At 53.6% G+C, this 15,358-nt stretch overlaps 1 protein-coding gene across 1 annotated transcript in view, besides 4 other annotated features; it reads right to left on the reverse strand.

Annotated features, from left to right (window-relative positions):
- Window positions 1-15,358, reverse strand: part of LTBP2 (latent transforming growth factor beta binding protein 2) — a 114,055-nt gene that overhangs the window by 24,131 nt on the left and 74,566 nt on the right. The window contains exons 9-16 of the mRNA NM_000428.3: window positions 13,613-13,687; window positions 10,113-10,235; window positions 6,645-6,809; window positions 6,170-6,385; window positions 5,034-5,053; window positions 3,762-3,801; window positions 2,811-2,912; window positions 477-605 (exon numbers count right to left, since the gene is read on the reverse strand). Coding sequence (NP_000419.1) covers window positions 477-605; window positions 2,811-2,912; window positions 3,762-3,801; window positions 5,034-5,053; window positions 6,170-6,385; window positions 6,645-6,809; window positions 10,113-10,235; window positions 13,613-13,687 — 870 coding nt within the window. The remainder of the gene's footprint in view (window positions 1-476; window positions 606-2,810; window positions 2,913-3,761; window positions 3,802-5,033; window positions 5,054-6,169; window positions 6,386-6,644; window positions 6,810-10,112; window positions 10,236-13,612; window positions 13,688-15,358) is intronic.
- Window positions 135-1,013: an enhancer, noted in NCBI's record as "H3K4me1 hESC enhancer chr14:74989151-74990029 (GRCh37/hg19 assembly coordinates)". NCBI's record gives its function as "activates a minimal SCP1, AML or CMV promoter by ChIP-STARR-seq in naive H9 embryonic stem cells {active_cell/tissue: H9 hESC(naive)}" and the evidence as "EXISTENCE:reporter gene assay evidence [ECO:0000049][PMID:30033119]".
- Window positions 1,475-2,414: an enhancer, noted in NCBI's record as "H3K4me1 hESC enhancer chr14:74990491-74991430 (GRCh37/hg19 assembly coordinates)". NCBI's record gives its function as "activates a minimal SCP1, AML or CMV promoter by ChIP-STARR-seq in primed H9 embryonic stem cells {active_cell/tissue: H9 hESC(primed)}" and the evidence as "EXISTENCE:reporter gene assay evidence [ECO:0000049][PMID:30033119]".
- Window positions 4,799-5,300: an enhancer, noted in NCBI's record as "H3K4me1 hESC enhancer chr14:74993815-74994316 (GRCh37/hg19 assembly coordinates)". NCBI's record gives its function as "activates a minimal SCP1, AML or CMV promoter by ChIP-STARR-seq in naive H9 embryonic stem cells {active_cell/tissue: H9 hESC(naive)}" and the evidence as "EXISTENCE:reporter gene assay evidence [ECO:0000049][PMID:30033119]".
- Window positions 5,943-6,444: an enhancer, noted in NCBI's record as "H3K4me1 hESC enhancer chr14:74994959-74995460 (GRCh37/hg19 assembly coordinates)". NCBI's record gives its function as "activates a minimal SCP1, AML or CMV promoter by ChIP-STARR-seq in naive H9 embryonic stem cells {active_cell/tissue: H9 hESC(naive)}" and the evidence as "EXISTENCE:reporter gene assay evidence [ECO:0000049][PMID:30033119]".

Consider the following 15,358-nt stretch of genomic DNA (forward strand, 5'->3'; position numbering starts at 1 on the left):
CCTTTGAAACCACAATGGATATTTCTCCCTTATTTGAAAATATTGGGGGGAGGAGGAATGAGGTCCACACTTGATGATTTATCTTAGCCTCAGACCTCCCCCTACGGATGACCCTGGTGGAGACATTTGCAACTGGGGCAGTCCTGGGTGTGCTCTCCAGGCAGCAAAATGGCCAGTTTGAGGGGTGGGCTGATCTCAGAGAAGAGGGCTGCCAGGCACAGGCCAGGATGCATGCAATGGGCTGGCTTCTGTGCTCCTGGAGTCCTGGAGACTCATCGGATGGGGCTCACCGAGACTGGTCTTCCCCTGAAGGTTAAAGTTAGCTTAGTCCACAGGGACTGTGCTCCTCCTAAACTCATCAACCACCCAGCACTGCTTGGACCTTCTGCTTCTTCCTGGACTCTCAACTCGGCCTCTTAGCCCCTGCTCCCATCTACCCCAGCCGCCAAGTAAGCCCAGGGCACCCAAGTGAATACCTGTGCAGTAGGCCTGGCTGGGGTGCAGCTGGTAGCCAGGGCTGCAGACACATCTGTATCCATCGGGGAGGTTCACGCAGGTTCCAGGGCCACAGACGTTGGTGGCTCCAGCAGCGCATCTGTCAATGCCTGTGGGAGACAGAGCAAAACAGAGGTTATGGCAGGGTGGGTGCTGGACAAAGGCAGTGGAGCGGGGTGGGGACAGTCAGTGGCCAGGGTCTAGGGGCCTCAGAAGGCCAACCTTAGCCAGGCCCTCCCTCCCATACCCATGCACAGCTTGGCCTTGCATAAGACCCTAGGGGACCTCTGCCCAGCACCCCGAGCCCTACCCAGGATGGAGGTCATAGTAGGGCATCCCCCTCACCGAGATCTAATGGATAACCCATATTTCCAGCAAATTTCCAGCAAAACCCCTCCATCCTAGCCCCACCCCGAAAATGGGCCTGACTCCTACCCAGTGCCCAGCGCCATCCCTCCCTGCAACTCCTGCCCAGTTTTCCCTGGACAGACAGACAGACCTGGTGAGTAAGGTGCTTGGGGAAAACTGCCAGGGGAAAATGGGAGGGGTGGACTGGGGTCAGCTGAGCAGAGCCTTGAAAGCCACATTGAGACTGGCCTGTAACAAGGATTTTGTGAAAGGTGGGGGTGGGTCAGAGCAGTCCTAGAAAGGCCACTCAGGCAACGAGATGATGGATGAACTGGTAAGGGAGGTATAGTGGGTCCTTAAAACCTGTTGAAATAATTTAAATGAGGGTCTGCCTTGGGTGGTGGTGATGGGGTGAGAAGTGGGGAGACAGGTACAGAATTGAGAAATAGTTTGGAGGCAGACTCACTGGGACTCGGGGTTGAGGCTGTGTAGACAGCAGAGACTTTAGCTTTCTGAACGGTATCCCTAATACTAGAAAGGTACCTGGCACTTAGAACATGCCAAATGGATAAATGAATGAATGATGCTTCTGCATTTGTGTCCACCCTGAAGTCTTTGCCTGAAGCCCACATGCTCAGGGGTCCCTGCCCCGCCCCCATAGCTTGGGAGAAGCCGAAGACCCAAGGGAATGGGTTGGGGAATGGTCTGTACGTGGGTATACAGTGGGGCTTAACAGTCTGCCAGATTGTACTGAATTGAATGTGCACCCAAGGCTACCCTCTCCCCGGGCCTGGCTCTAAGTTTGTGTCAGCCTTGGGGGTTGTGGGGGCCCTCAGCTGGGTCCTAAATGTCTGCCCAGAGGGGTGAGGTTACAGAATGGCAGAGGAGAAGGGGGATAGGGCAAAAGGCTGAGGCTGGGGTTGCGGTGGGGACACTCATCCACATGCCAAGAGCTGCTGCTGAGCTTGGCCTGCCCCCTGCCCCCTGCCCCCTGCTTCCCATCCCTTCCTCCAGGTCCATTTTCCTTGTCAGAAATTCAGCACTCCTCTGCACACTCTGCCTGCTGAGCAGAGGCCAGAAGGGGATGCTCCCTGGAGCAGCGCTTTGAGCCCAGAGGAGAGAGGTCCCAGGAGAGGTCAGTGGGGTGTGCCTGGGAAGGCTGGACCCCTACTCCCCACTCTCTGGACTGTTCCACCAGGCGCAGGGGCTTTCCCTTTGCTGAAGGAAATCCAGAACCCCCTGACCACCCTCACCCCCAACACAAGGTGACTGGGTCTCTGGACCCAGTCGTAAGGTTAAGAGAGCAGGAGCCCCAGGAGCGGGCACACACGTGTACAGGGAGCAGCGGCAACAACACCCGCCTTGCTTCTCCTGCACCAAGTCCCCAGACAATGAGCCTTTAAGGAGGGCACATTCCAGAGCAAGGTGGATTTGCCAGGATCGCCCCCACACCCGCCCCTCGCCCCCATCACTGTAGCTGACCAGAGGGAGAGGAATGCAGGCTTGGTTAAACAACCTTGAGAAATAGAACCATGTTCCTTCCCGAAAATCAGCCCTCCCCGTGGGCAGGCAGCTGCTCGCTGCCAGGCACTCTGCTGACTCAGGGGAGTGGCCTGGAAGAGCCAGGATCCCAGTGGCCCTCACTCCCCATGCTCCCCTTCCTTGAGAGGGACCCCCAGATTCTCCTGGAAGACCCCTGGCTTCCTTCTCCCATGGTGTCCCTTCTCTTCCCCCTTCTGGGCTTGGGCAGTGCTCCAGGCAGGGCTCTTGTTTTCACAAGAGGGACCCTGTGTTCTTTGTAAGATGAGGCCAGGGGTGCACAGCCCAGCTGGGAGCCTGCTGGGGACTTTACCTAGTTGGAAAGGTGAGGGGGCATTCCATTCATGCCCCTGCCCTGGAGTTGGCTCTGGACAGACACAGCTCACAGGGCAGGGTGCAGGGAGCCCCAAAGGTCTGGCTGCAGCTACCTGGGGTGCTCAGGGTCACCAGCACATCAGTGGAGGGGGTCACTTGTTCTTCCTGTATCTCTGCAATCCCCTGTTCAGGCATTGGTGGGGTTGTGGCATTCCCTGTGGAGGAGAGAGGGGAAGAGGTGGGGTTGTGGCCCCTTGGCTGGCCATGGCCCTTCCCTCTTCCCTGGTGCTCAGACTCCCAAGAACGAAGGGTGAAGCCTGGGGTGGGTCACTCCCATGCCTTCCAGTCTCCTGAAAGTTGATCTGGCCCCACTTAGAGAATCTGAGAGCTCTAACAGGCGTTGGAGCACATCCAGTCTAATCCTCCATGTCAGGGCCAGGAGACTGAGGCTTGCAGAAATGGTCACTTGTCCAAGGCCAGTCAGCTTGTCGGAGGCACAGCTGACACCTGGGTTTCCTAATTCCCACTTCAACATTCTTTCACTTCTGCTTACAAAGCATTTCACAGCTTACAGAGCTCTGCCACAAATACCAACATCTTATTTGCTTTGAGAGTCTGCAAGACAGGCATCAGTGTCTTCTACCGTTTTACAAGAAGCATGAGCTCAGCCTTCCAATGTCTGAACCCAACACCAGTGACAGGCAAGTAGTGGTTTCAGGACAAGACCTCTTGGGGGAAAGAGTCTAGCGACCCAGCCAAACACCTGTTTCAGCTAGTGCTGTCTCTTTGTTCTGATTTATGTGCTAAGTGGTGCCATGAAATTTGCAAAGAGTTCTGTGGCTAGAAAACTATCTGTGAAGCGTCATGGGGTCTCTCGCTGACTTCACAGCACCTTAGGTGTATAGAGAGCTCCCAGAAACAGCACTCACAGGCCACGTCCTTCTCACCCTCCTCTGATGTGTGTGTGAGCGTGAACCAGCTCACACATAGTAACTCCACTCCTGATTAAGGGCTCTTTCCCTCCCTTCTCTTTTGCCTAGGAGCCGCCAGGAAGAGGGACTCACCTGTGACCCAGGCAGGTGCATGAGTGACACTGGTCGTGACCTGCACAGAAACAGGAGAAGGTCACTTTTGGCTCCTCTGCCGTACCTGTGATGTGCCACCTTCCACCACACTGACCCCCACCTCCGGGCTTCCTACCAGGAGCTCATTCATGTTTTCATTCATTCCAGGTATTGATGAGTTCTTACTCTATGCTGGGCATTCTGCCAGGCACTTTACACACACTCACTTCATTAACCTTCTCAACTATCTTATGATGGGAGGTTGAAATGATTAAATGAGCTGATATACATACTATGCCAGCTCAGTGTTGGGTCCATGGTAGAAAATCAGCAATTTGGTGTCAGCTATAACCCTAGCATCTCAACACAGTAACAGAAGCTCTGGAGGTTCACTAGAGTGCCTGGAGCCACAGGGCCAGAGTGGGGAAGCTGGGACCACAGGTTATACCTGGTGTCCCTCAACATAGCCAGTGGACAGAATTTGCTGAGAGGTGGGGATGTAACAGCAGAAGAGTGGGCAGAGGGTGAAAAAGGCCCTGGAGGCTGGCTGCGTCTGTGGGGACCAGAGTTAGAGCTTTGGCCTGGGGGGACATCATATGGTGGCCCAGGGACAGAACAAGGCACCCGGAAGAAACTGTATTTGGGAACAGTCAGGTATGCAGGCTGGAGGGGCAGGGGACAGAGTAGGGACTGAGGCTGATGAGGGAAGAAGCAGATCCCCTCTTCTGGAATGTTTTCCTGGGACGACACCCAGGTTTTCCCAGGGGAATCTTGGGCACAGGGAAGGGAGTTGGATGCACCTTTCTCCGTGAGGTGGTTTGAGGCTGTTCACAGCTGTGCCCACACTTCCCTGTACACCACTCCCAGAGGGACCTGGAGGTTCAACTAAACCAGCGCAGAAAGTGCCAGACCCAGAATGAACTGGAAGCAGCTCCACACCTCGTCTGCAGTGCTTAAAGCTTGAGTGACAGCCAGGCCTAACAGGACATGTTCCTACTTCCTTTCTGAAGGGGCCCCAGCCCATCCCAAATGGGAAAATGCTTGCACAATGGCTGCTCCATAAACAAGAGCTGTTGTTATCACTTCCTTTAGGGTAAAACTGGGTCTTTGGATCAATCCTCCCACTTGGTCATCTCTTCAAGTAAAATCTAACAGATACTCCATCTTTCTCCCTCTCCCTCCCTCATGAGACACTGCCCTGGGGCCTGAGCTGCTACCAGGTCCTGCTCTCTGCCATGCTTGCCCGGCCCCCTAGTGGGAGGACGCACTCACCTGGCCAGCCTGAGAGTCACCTGGAAGGGAAAGGTAACAGCGTGAGCTCAGGGAGGAGGGTCTGGCTGCCTTCTCCCCTCACCGCCACCTGGGCGGCTTCACAGTCTGCGCCCCAGACCACATCCCCAGCAGGGCCAGCAGCACAGAAAGCGTGGACTCTTCTTACCTGCCTCTGCCCCATCACCCCTGTAGGGACTGGCCACCACAAAATTCCAGAACCCCAGGTCTGGAGGGCCTGAAGATAGCTTAGTGAAGCCTCTCACTTGGTAAGCGGAAGGCCCTGCTTTCCTGTAAGGCCTCGGGTGACAGGAGTCCCACCTGCTCCCGGACCTGTCCACCCCATCCATTCTGGAGTCACCTCCTTGCACTGCTACCTCCTCCCTCCCATGCCTCCCAGCCAGGCTGGGTCATGCAGCCCCCTGCCCTGGGCTTTGGGCCAGGGGAACAGTTTGAGGAAGGAGTGGAATTGCTCCTGGCTTGGCCGGTGTCCTGTGTCCACAACAACTGGGGCTCTGTCCTCACTCCCCTGTCTATTCCAGATTCCTGGAGCAGTTTGACCAATCACATAGTTTGCTGGCGCTATGACGTTCCAGGCCTCCTGCATTCAGTGTTACCAGTGACCTGGGCATGACTTCTCCATGGTTTTCAGGGCACTTGCAAGGAGAGCCTCATACCCAGCCTCCCTCCAGCCCCGTGCCTCTGGGGTCCAAGGCCGTTGAGCTGGAGTTAGCACTCTGACTCCAAGGCCGGGCCAGGGGTCTGACATGCAGGTCCCCAGGACCCACCTGCCAGCTATTCAGGCCTGCAGCAAGCACCGGCCCCAGAAGCTGCATGGCCAGAGGGCAGGAGATGGAGAGGCCTGATCGCTGGGGTGGGGGCTGCGGCTGATCTTTCCCACCTCCACAAGCAACTCCCTGGGGCGTGGGCACCTCTTGACCCCATATGGAAGAGGAAGTGGGTGGGGCCAGGCCATGAGAGAAGGCTGCCAGGGTTGGGTGCTGCTGCTCCAAGCTCCCTTTCCTAATGCCACAGAGATGGGATGCCCAGGGACCCAGGATTAACACCCACACTTCTCTGAGGTGCTGGAAACTTAGGGGAAAGGAAAATCCCTCAGGCATCTCCCCCAGCTCAGATACCCTTGTCAGGGATGGTCCCGGCCTCAAGCCAGGTGTCCGTGACGACCCGGAGGGGCTGCCTCTCTGCTGGCCCGGGCAGTGCCCCGCTGCTCCTCTGCCCTTGCTCCCTTGGGGGCCTTGCCAGTTCCTCCTCCTCGGCTTTCCTCATGGACAGGCGGATGTCGGAGCTCGCGTAGGTGTAGCCGTGGCCGGCAGGGCAGATCTCTCTGAAGGCCTCTGCAAAGCCAACAGCCAGAGGACAAACTGAGAGGTGCTGTTCCTGCAGGAAACCAGGGCCTTCCTTTCCCTCCCTTTGGGAGACACGGCAATTGTGGCAGCAAGGAGGGAGGGAGCCCCAGGTTGGGATAAGCACGTGAGCAGGCAGGGAAGGCTACTTCAGTCTTCCAGATTGAGGGAAGTCTACCCAGGCCTGGCAACATGGTCACTGGCCTTGAGCCCCTGGGCAGTGAAAGCTGGGATGGGAACAGGAGGTTACCTGTGCCAGGCAGAGGGCATTTCTCACACTCGCTGCCCCATGCTTTGCCCACGCGGCTGCAGCAGCATATCTGCTTGGTGATCCGCTGGGCCAAAGGCAGGGTGCAGGTGCCGGGCCCCAGCGACCGGTAGCACAGTCCCTGCAGCATGGAGATTGCCTTGTCCGCTGCAACAGACACAGCACGTGGAGGTGGGCAGGTGGCCAGTGGGAGGGGAATGCGCAGCTGGGAGGGCAGTGGATGGAGGTGTGGCTGGCCACATGCACTCAGACTGGCCTGGCCCATATCTCAGTTGGGAAGTTTGGAGCCCTGCAAATGCTCACAAGAACTTTAGGAGGAAGAGGCGTAGTGGAATGTTTCAGCACCTGCCCATGTTGTGTGCTTGATGAGACTCGTGACTCCCCACCTGCATGTGGAGAACCTGAGAGCAGGGAATGAGGATGCAGCTGCTTGTCTCCAGTGCCGAGTTTAGAAGTGTTTACTGAAGGCCCCACGTGTCCCTAGGGTTGAGCGGGCAGCAGTATGTCCTGAGGACCACAGCCTCCCTGGGAAGATGAGGCAAGGTAAGGAGCTAAGGCCGGATGGGGAGCTCGGAGGACAGGGACCCTATCTTGGGTCATCTCTGTCACCCAGGCACCTCCCATAGTGCCTGGTGCATGCAAATGCTTAGTAATGCTTGTTGAAGCTATGCGTGGATGGCTAGGTCAATGAACCAATCAAACACAGAATCAACCAGCCAATCAAAATACTGAGGGTCACTGTGAGTTTGAGCTATGCTGGGCTTAGGTCATAGCAATGCCACCACCCTTATCTCCTTTCTTGTACTTTGAAAATAAATATTAAAGAATAGTTTCTGTATGTTATCTCAATGGAAGACGAGGAGGCCATGCCAGGTTGGAAGAGTCTGGAATCCGTAGAGGGCTGACTGGATTCTAAGAGGAGGAGAGTGGGCTGAAGAGGACATCAATCAAAGTTTAGGAATGAATGATTCTGGGGAAGTGCTGGTCAGGCCCAGGACGCAGCAGACCAAGTTCAAATCCCTGCTCCACCATGAACTACAGACCTCCCTGGGCCTTAGCTTCTTCACGTGTAAAATGAAGATGAGAATGATGATTCCATCGCAGGGGACACCTGTATTTCTGCCTGCCCAGAGTCTATGCACCATATTCTCGTATCATCACTCTGGTTCTCCTACAGGAACCACCCTTTCCCACCCTTGGTCCATATGACTGGAGTGGAGGCTGACGCCTTTCTGGCTGAAGGCTTGTGGTCCATACCCCTGGTTACAGTGATTGGGTCAGGGATGGGCACTTAACCAAGGAGGCCCAATGATAATCAGCTTTGAGACTATTATTCCTGGGTTATTGGGGAAAAGGGGCTCATTTTTTATTGAGTTTGCAAGGCTGAGAGGGTGTAGGCCTAGAGCATCTGGTGACCACCTTTGAAGGAACCATGAAACTCACACAGAGGAAAGAGCAGGACATGCCCTGCAGACACTGTGGCTGCCTAGGTCAGCCAGCCTGAGGCCATACCACGTCTGCACTTCCTAGTTGTGTGAACCAATGCTTTTGGTTTTTCTTGAGAAGAGTCTTGTCTATTGCCCAGGCTGCAGTATAGTGGCACGATCTCGGCTCACTGCAACCTTTGCCTCTGGGGCTCAAGCCATCCTTCCACTTCAGCCTCTCAAGTAGCTGGGACTACAGGTGTGCACCACCACGCCTGGCTAATTTTTAATTTTTTGTAAAGACAGGGTCTCACCATGTTGCCTAGGCTGGTTTTAAACTCCTGAACTCAAGTGGTCCACCTGCCTCAGCCTCCCAAAGTGCTTGGATTACAGGTGAGAGGCACGGGGCCCAGCCCCAGCGAATTCTTTTTTGCTTAAGGCAGTTTGAGTTTGGTTTCTGTCACTTGCAATCCAAAGACTCCCGATTAATAAACTTTCTTCGTGGTATTGTCGTGGAGATTAAATAGAGTGAGGTGTGTGAGAGTGGCTTGTTAAAGGTCATGTGCCCGCCACAGGTAAATCATCAGCCGTCTGTGAGCCCTGGATCTCCAGGTGCAAACTCTGCTTCTAGCAGCCACTTCCATTGGGACACTGTAAGGAAGGGCTCTGTCCCTTTGAACCCCAGGGTGGAGATGACCCAGGTGGGAATATCAGGAGGCTGGGGCAGCCCTGTAGACTGCCCCACTGGACCTGGTCAGGCGGCAGGGAGGGAAGGAGGCAGAACTCAGAAACAAAGGGAAGAGAAACTTCGTGCCACCCCTCCCACTTACAGGGAGGTGAATCACTGTAGGAGGCTGGAGGGAGTAACACCAGGGACAGAGAGGGAAAAAAGGACACTCGAGAGCCATCTCTGCTTCCCTGTATTAAGGGTCTCTTTCTGGGACTAATAAATAAGTCACCTTGGATGTCAAACACACCTCTCTGGTAAAGGGATCTTAAGTGATGTGGAGTAGAAGGAAGGGTGTAAGCCTCTCAAGGCCTTGATCACCTGCCACTGCCACCATGAAGGTTTCTTGAGAGCGGTCTGACATGTTCTCCCCACTCTGGGCCCCTCACTCTCTGGGCACCCCCCTCCTATAGCTCTTGCTGTCTTCTCTCCCTAGAGCCACTGGGTTCAGCCTCTGGGTGGCACTGGAGTCTTGTCCAATCCCATGGCCCTCCCAAACCCAGTACCAGAAAGTTTGCAGACTGAGGGCTTGGCCGGTTGCAGGGAGCTCTGCTGAGCTGGGCGTGGCCCATCCAACCTCGGCTGCTGCCTCCCAGAGGCCAGTTGGGACTGGTTTTATTCAGCTCTGGTCAGGCCTCCCGGCCCAGGGAAAGCCCTATCTGGGCTGTGGTGTCAGTTCTGCCATTGGGGGCTGCTGCCAGCCTGGGCCTCTCACCCTGGAAACCACAGAGGTCTCTGGAAACAGGGCTGCCTGGCATACATGCATGTACATACCTGGACACAATGCTAATGCCCACTATGTGTTCACAGATAAGGAGAAACTTCAGAACCACAAGGGGCCACAGGATTGTGGAAAGGCCCTCGGGTCGGGCAGCAGCTCCATGAATGCTATGGACAGCCCTTCTGGAAAGGTCACTCAGCAGCCAAGGCTCAGCCAGACATCAGAGCAGAGGCCACCCCCACCACCTCCCGCCACCAAAGAAAACGAGGCTACACATGGAACAGAAATGATTAGAAAGGAAAAAAAATAAGAAATAGAAAAGACGAATTCCAAACTGCAAAGGCCCGGAAAAAATGCCTAGTGTAAAAAGTGAAGTAGTAACCATCTCTGTTCCAGCAGGATGGGCTGATCAGGTTTTTCACATTGGGCCCAACTCCAGGTTGAATAGCCGACACAGGCCCTGAGCATGGCGTGATCAGGTCTGGGGAAAATTGCTGCCCTGGGCCTGGCCTGTGGACCTGAAGTGTCCCATCTTGTCTCCCACTGTCCACCCCCACCCCATCCCTGCCAGCACTCACACACACAGCGGCTCCGCGATGGATCCAGCATGAGGCCAGGTCTGCATGTGCACAGGTAGCTGCCCCTGGTATTCACACACTCCGCGTCCTTGCACAGGCCCAGGGTCAAGCACTCGTTGATATCTGCAGGGTTGGAGGAGATGACCAAGTGCCCGCCCCACGGAGGCCTGATGGAGCAGAGGGGCTGGGCAGAGATCTTCAAATACTCTCTCCAGATAAAACAACAACAAAAGAGCTGCTATGTATTCAGTGGGATTCCTCTCCCTGTGCCTCAGTTTCCTCATTTGTAAAATGAGGATAATGATAGTAACAACCAGATGGTGTTGTTAAATGGATAAGATCAAATTGCAAACCACTTTGTCCAATAAGTGGCATGTAACAATGATCATAATATTAAGAGCTAATGTTTATTTATTTATTTATCTATTTTTTGAGACAGAGTCTCGTTTTGCCACCCAGGCTGGAGTGCAGGGGTGTGATCTCAGCTCACTGCAGTCTCCGCCTCCCAGGTTCAAGCAATTCTCATGCCTCAGCCTCCCGAGTAGCTGGAACGACAGGTGCATACCACCACATCCAGCTAATTTTTGTACTGTATTTTTTGTAGAGATGTGTTTTCACCATGTTGCCCATGGCTGGTCTCAAACTCTGGGCCTCAAGCAATCTGCCTGCCTTGGCCTCCCGAAGTGCTGAGATTACAAGCATGAGCTGCCTTGCCAGGCCTCAAGCGCTAGTGTTTATTGAGCACCTATTACATGCTACGTACTCTGCTGGGTATTAACATATAATACCCCATTTAATTCTCACAAACAATTTTATCAAATAGGCCCACATGTCCTCATTTTACAGGAGAAGAAACTGAGGTCCCAGGAATAGCCAGGTCACCCACTGGTTTGGGGAAATTGGCACTGGGCACAGAGTCATTCAGCTGGAGAGTGGCATGTTGAGATGCAGACAGGAAACAGATCAGGGGGACTGTGTGGGTTGGAAGGTGGAGAAGGGGCAGCCAAGTCCCTCCTATTCAGCCTTCCTCCAGAGGTCCCTGAAGCACCTCTGCAGGCCCCAAGACCCTGGGAGCATGTCTGCAGTGAGCTGGAGGAGGGAGGACCCTGGTAAGGAAAAGGAGGCAGAGGCTGGAGGAAGGCACTGAAGGGGAAGGGGACAGCAGGGGTCACAGTTAAGAGTGTGCAAAGGTTGAGGGTCAGAAGGGCACATCTTCGGGTCCTCCTGAACGCCCTTCCTTGTGCAGGCTGCACGCATCCCCCCGGAAACCCGTGGAGGCTCATGCTGTTCTTCAAATAAGGGAGGTGCACTGGTTTCTTCTGTGACCTCAAAGGGGGAAACCCCCTTTTCCTGCTGCAAACTTCTCCCTGCCAAGGGGAAGTCTCAGCCCTCACAATCTAAGATATGAGGAGTCGGGGGCCATCTTGATGATGGCACTTCTATTGATGGTGGTGATGGCAGCAGAGATGATAAGCATTAATTGCTTGTGAGGGGCACCTGCCTCCAGGCCAGGCGGTAACACAGGCAGCCCTGTGTCTGCAGAGCCAGGTCACCCACCGGTTTGGGGAAATTGGCACTGGGCACAGGAACGAGGGACTGAAAGGTGACCCAGCCTGAGCACCAAGGGGCACTACTCCTTGGTAGGATGCCCCATTGTGGCAGGGTGCCAATAAGAGCTGGGAAGGTGCTACTGAGAAATGGGAAGGGGCAGTGATCCATATGCATCCAGACTGTGGCCACAGTGGGATGTGGGCCTCCATACCCAAATCTGACTTGCTTCCCTCTGCTTCTGGGTTCCCTGTCACTTCTTAGAGGGAGGCTCTAAACCCTAACATGGTATCCAAGGCCCTCTACCTTTCCCCAAAGCCTGTGGGTAAACAGGTGGCTCTGATGAGACACTGGCAGACATGTGGCATCTCCCGTGTGTACACAGGCCACGTACACAGTACTTTCTGGGACACTCCAGACAGCACAAACTGTTCTTTTGCTTATGGGGTTCACATTGCCTGGAGAGCTTGCATCCTCTTAGTTGGCCAACGTGTACTCATTTTTAAAGTCTTGGCCTTAGGTATCACCTTTTCCAGGGAGCCTTCCCTGATCCTTCCAGTCTGGGAAGGCGCCCCCACCATGGGATCCTGTAGCACTCAGGGACTGCTGCTTTCTCTCAAGAATGCCCCGCTCATTAGACCTGATTGTTCAGGGGGTCTGTCTGCACTTGGGGCAGGACTGTCTTCTCCATCACTGTGTACTCCTAGCACAGTGTATGTAGCCCATAGTAACCTCCCCTCCAATACTCTGTGGAAGTAGGAGAGAAGGATGGAGAGAGAGGAGAGATGACGCATGCGGGTGCAGAGATGAGCAGGTCCCTTCGCAGACACAGAGACCACAGCCACATACATGGGAAGGGGAGGTTTCAGGGGCAGGGCCTCCTGAGGGAAGGTCCTTTGGTGTCCTGAATCTTGGGGCTCAGTAGAGGGAGGGCAGAGAGCCCATTTGAGATCCTGAGTATAACCTTAAAGCTCCAGATTGGGAAACATACCAGGAGGAAAAGCAACTGGTGACTGTTTAGACATGAACAGCCCCGATGTACCCTCCAAAGGCAAAAATACGTATTTCTCCCTACATCCACTGTCTGCTTGGCCCTCAAACCACTGGCTCCTGAGGGAGTCTGACTCTGGACTAGGCTGGGCCAGAGACCTGCCCTTTTGCTTGGCCCCAGCACCTTTGCTTATCCACGGGCTAGGAATCACTTCTGCAGCCTGGCACCCCCAAGGAAGACAGCCCAGCCATGCAGAGCTTCCCCAGACTCCTCTCTCTGAAGCAACCTCCAGGAGGAGGGCACCTTGGAGGCCATCTGGGTCAATCCCCTGTCTCTGACCCAGCTCCACCCAAAGCAAACCATACAGACAACTGTTTGTCCAGTTGTCAAAGCTCCCCACAGGGAAGCCACCTTGTTCCCCACTGGCCTCTGCCAGCCCCAGGAGCCTGTCCCAGGCAGGAAGCCCCCGTGCTCCCCGTCCCCTTTCCTGGCTATGGGTTGAAGCAAGCGGGAGGGAAGCCTGAGTAGCTAAAGGTTTTCAGTTGGGAAAAGCCCACAGAGGCCCCAACAACTCAGGCTGACTTGATTTCCCACCCTAGAGCTGAAATTCTTCCCACTCCAGGGAGACCAGCTCAGGAGAAAAGTGGAAGTGCACAGACTGGGGTGGCCCCTTCAGACACAGCCCCACATAGCCTAGAGCCCCTAGCCTGTGTTCCAGGTGGGTGTGGGTGGAGATGGGGACGAGGGGAGGTGTCGGCCCCCTTGGCTTCCTCTGTCACTCTCAAGCAAGTCCCTGGATTTCCTTAGTCCCCTGGAATCAGCAGCCCCCCACCACTCCCCAAAGCTGGGGCTTAGAGGGACTCAGTGGAGACCACTCGGCCAGTGACAGACACCCCTCCTGTCTGGTGCTGGGAGTGTGCCCCGGCATCCTTGAGCCCAGCCCTGGCCCTGGGGGTCCTACCTTGGCAGTGAGTGAGGTTCAGTCTCTTGTACCCCTGAGGACACTCCAGCTGGCCATTCTCAATCACCGGGGAGGCTGAAGAGTGGAGATACGGACAGGTCTCACTGGACGGCCCCTGGGCTCCTCTGTCACCCATGCTGGGAAGCGGGTGCAGTCTGGATGTCCAGCCCACCCGGCAGCAGTGAGCCCCAGCCCCCGAAGCCATCGCCCTGGGCAGCTGTGCTTCCTGGTTCTCACCAGACTCCTCTCAGCCCACCTCGCTTTTATTAAAAGCAGTACTAAGTGAAATAAGACAGGCACAGAAAGACAAATATCACATGATCTCACTTACATATGGGACCTAAGAAAAGCAAACCCATAGAAGCAGAGTAGAATGGTAGTTACCAGGGCCTGGGGGAGAGGGGAGATATTGATCAAAGGGTACAACATTTCAGTTAGATACAGGAGGAATAAGTTCAAAGGATCTGTTGTACGACATAGTGACTATGGTTAATAACAGTGTCTTGTATTCTTGAAAATTGCTAAGAGAGTAGATTTTAAGTGTTCTCACCACAAAAAATAAATATATGAGGTAATACACATGGGTGCAATTTAGCCACTTTACAATGTATACTTATTTCAGAACAACAGTTGTGTACCAGCCAGGCGCAGTGGCTCATGCCTTAATCCCAGTGCTTTGGGAGGCCAAGGCAGGTGGATCACCTCAGGTCAGGAGTTCGAGACCAGTCTGGCTAACATGGTGAAACCCCATCTCTACTAAAAATATGAAAATTAGCTGGGCATGGCAGCACATGCCTGTAATCCCAGCTACTCAGGAGGCTGAGGCAGGAGACTCGCTTGAACCCAGGAGGGGGAGGTCGCAGTGAGCTGAGGTTGCGCCACTGCACTCCAGCCTGAGTGACAGAGCAAGACTCCATCTCAAAACAAACAAACAAATAGTTGTGCACCACAAATATATACAATTTTTATTTGTCAATTAAAATTTTGTTAATACTAAGAAAAATGTATTATATACTTCACATACATAGTTATTACATATAGTATCTACTACACTACATGCATGTTATATATATAACATGGATTTTATTGTTATTACTTTTTGCTTTTTATTTTGAAATACTAAAAATACACAGATGTCTGATTGCAGATTGACCAACAAGGAAATTATTCTCAGTATTTTTATGCTGATACACATCCTGCCTTGAAATCACAACATTCCCCCTTACTTTACAAAGAAAAAAAAAAAAACCAAAGAGTTGACATTAAATAAAAACAGGAAAAAAATCTCCATTACTTTGGAGGAACAGACTAGTGTGCCAACCCTCTTGAAAAGCTCTAGCAGGAGGCATACTTCTGATCGCCACCTGTCTTCACAGGAAAAGGCAGGGGAATACTATCTTTTGTGGAACAAAAAGAGAACTCAGCTATAAGTCTGACAATTCTTTTGCCTATAGATAGCCAGCAATTCTAAGCAGGCACGAGCAATTGCCACAGACCTTATTCCATACAAAGTTCCATAAATATACCATGATATTTCAAAGGTCTTGCTCTATAAAGGTAGCTGCATGATGGCTTCCTGTAGCAATTTGCCGTCTTCTAGCTTTGACTCCTTTGTGGCAATAGCTTGTCTCTGAATGCTGCACCCTCCATCTCTGTTACCTTATCCCAATTCCTTTTTCTCCCAGTCATAACATCAGTAGCTACACTTTCAGTGTTGTTTGCTAAAGCTTATTGTCATCCAGGAAG

The sequence above is a fragment of the Homo sapiens genome, chromosome 14 (assembly GCF_000001405.40).
Source record: "Homo sapiens chromosome 14, GRCh38.p14 Primary Assembly".
In the NCBI taxonomy this organism is placed as follows: Eukaryota; Metazoa; Chordata; class Mammalia; order Primates; family Hominidae; genus Homo; species Homo sapiens.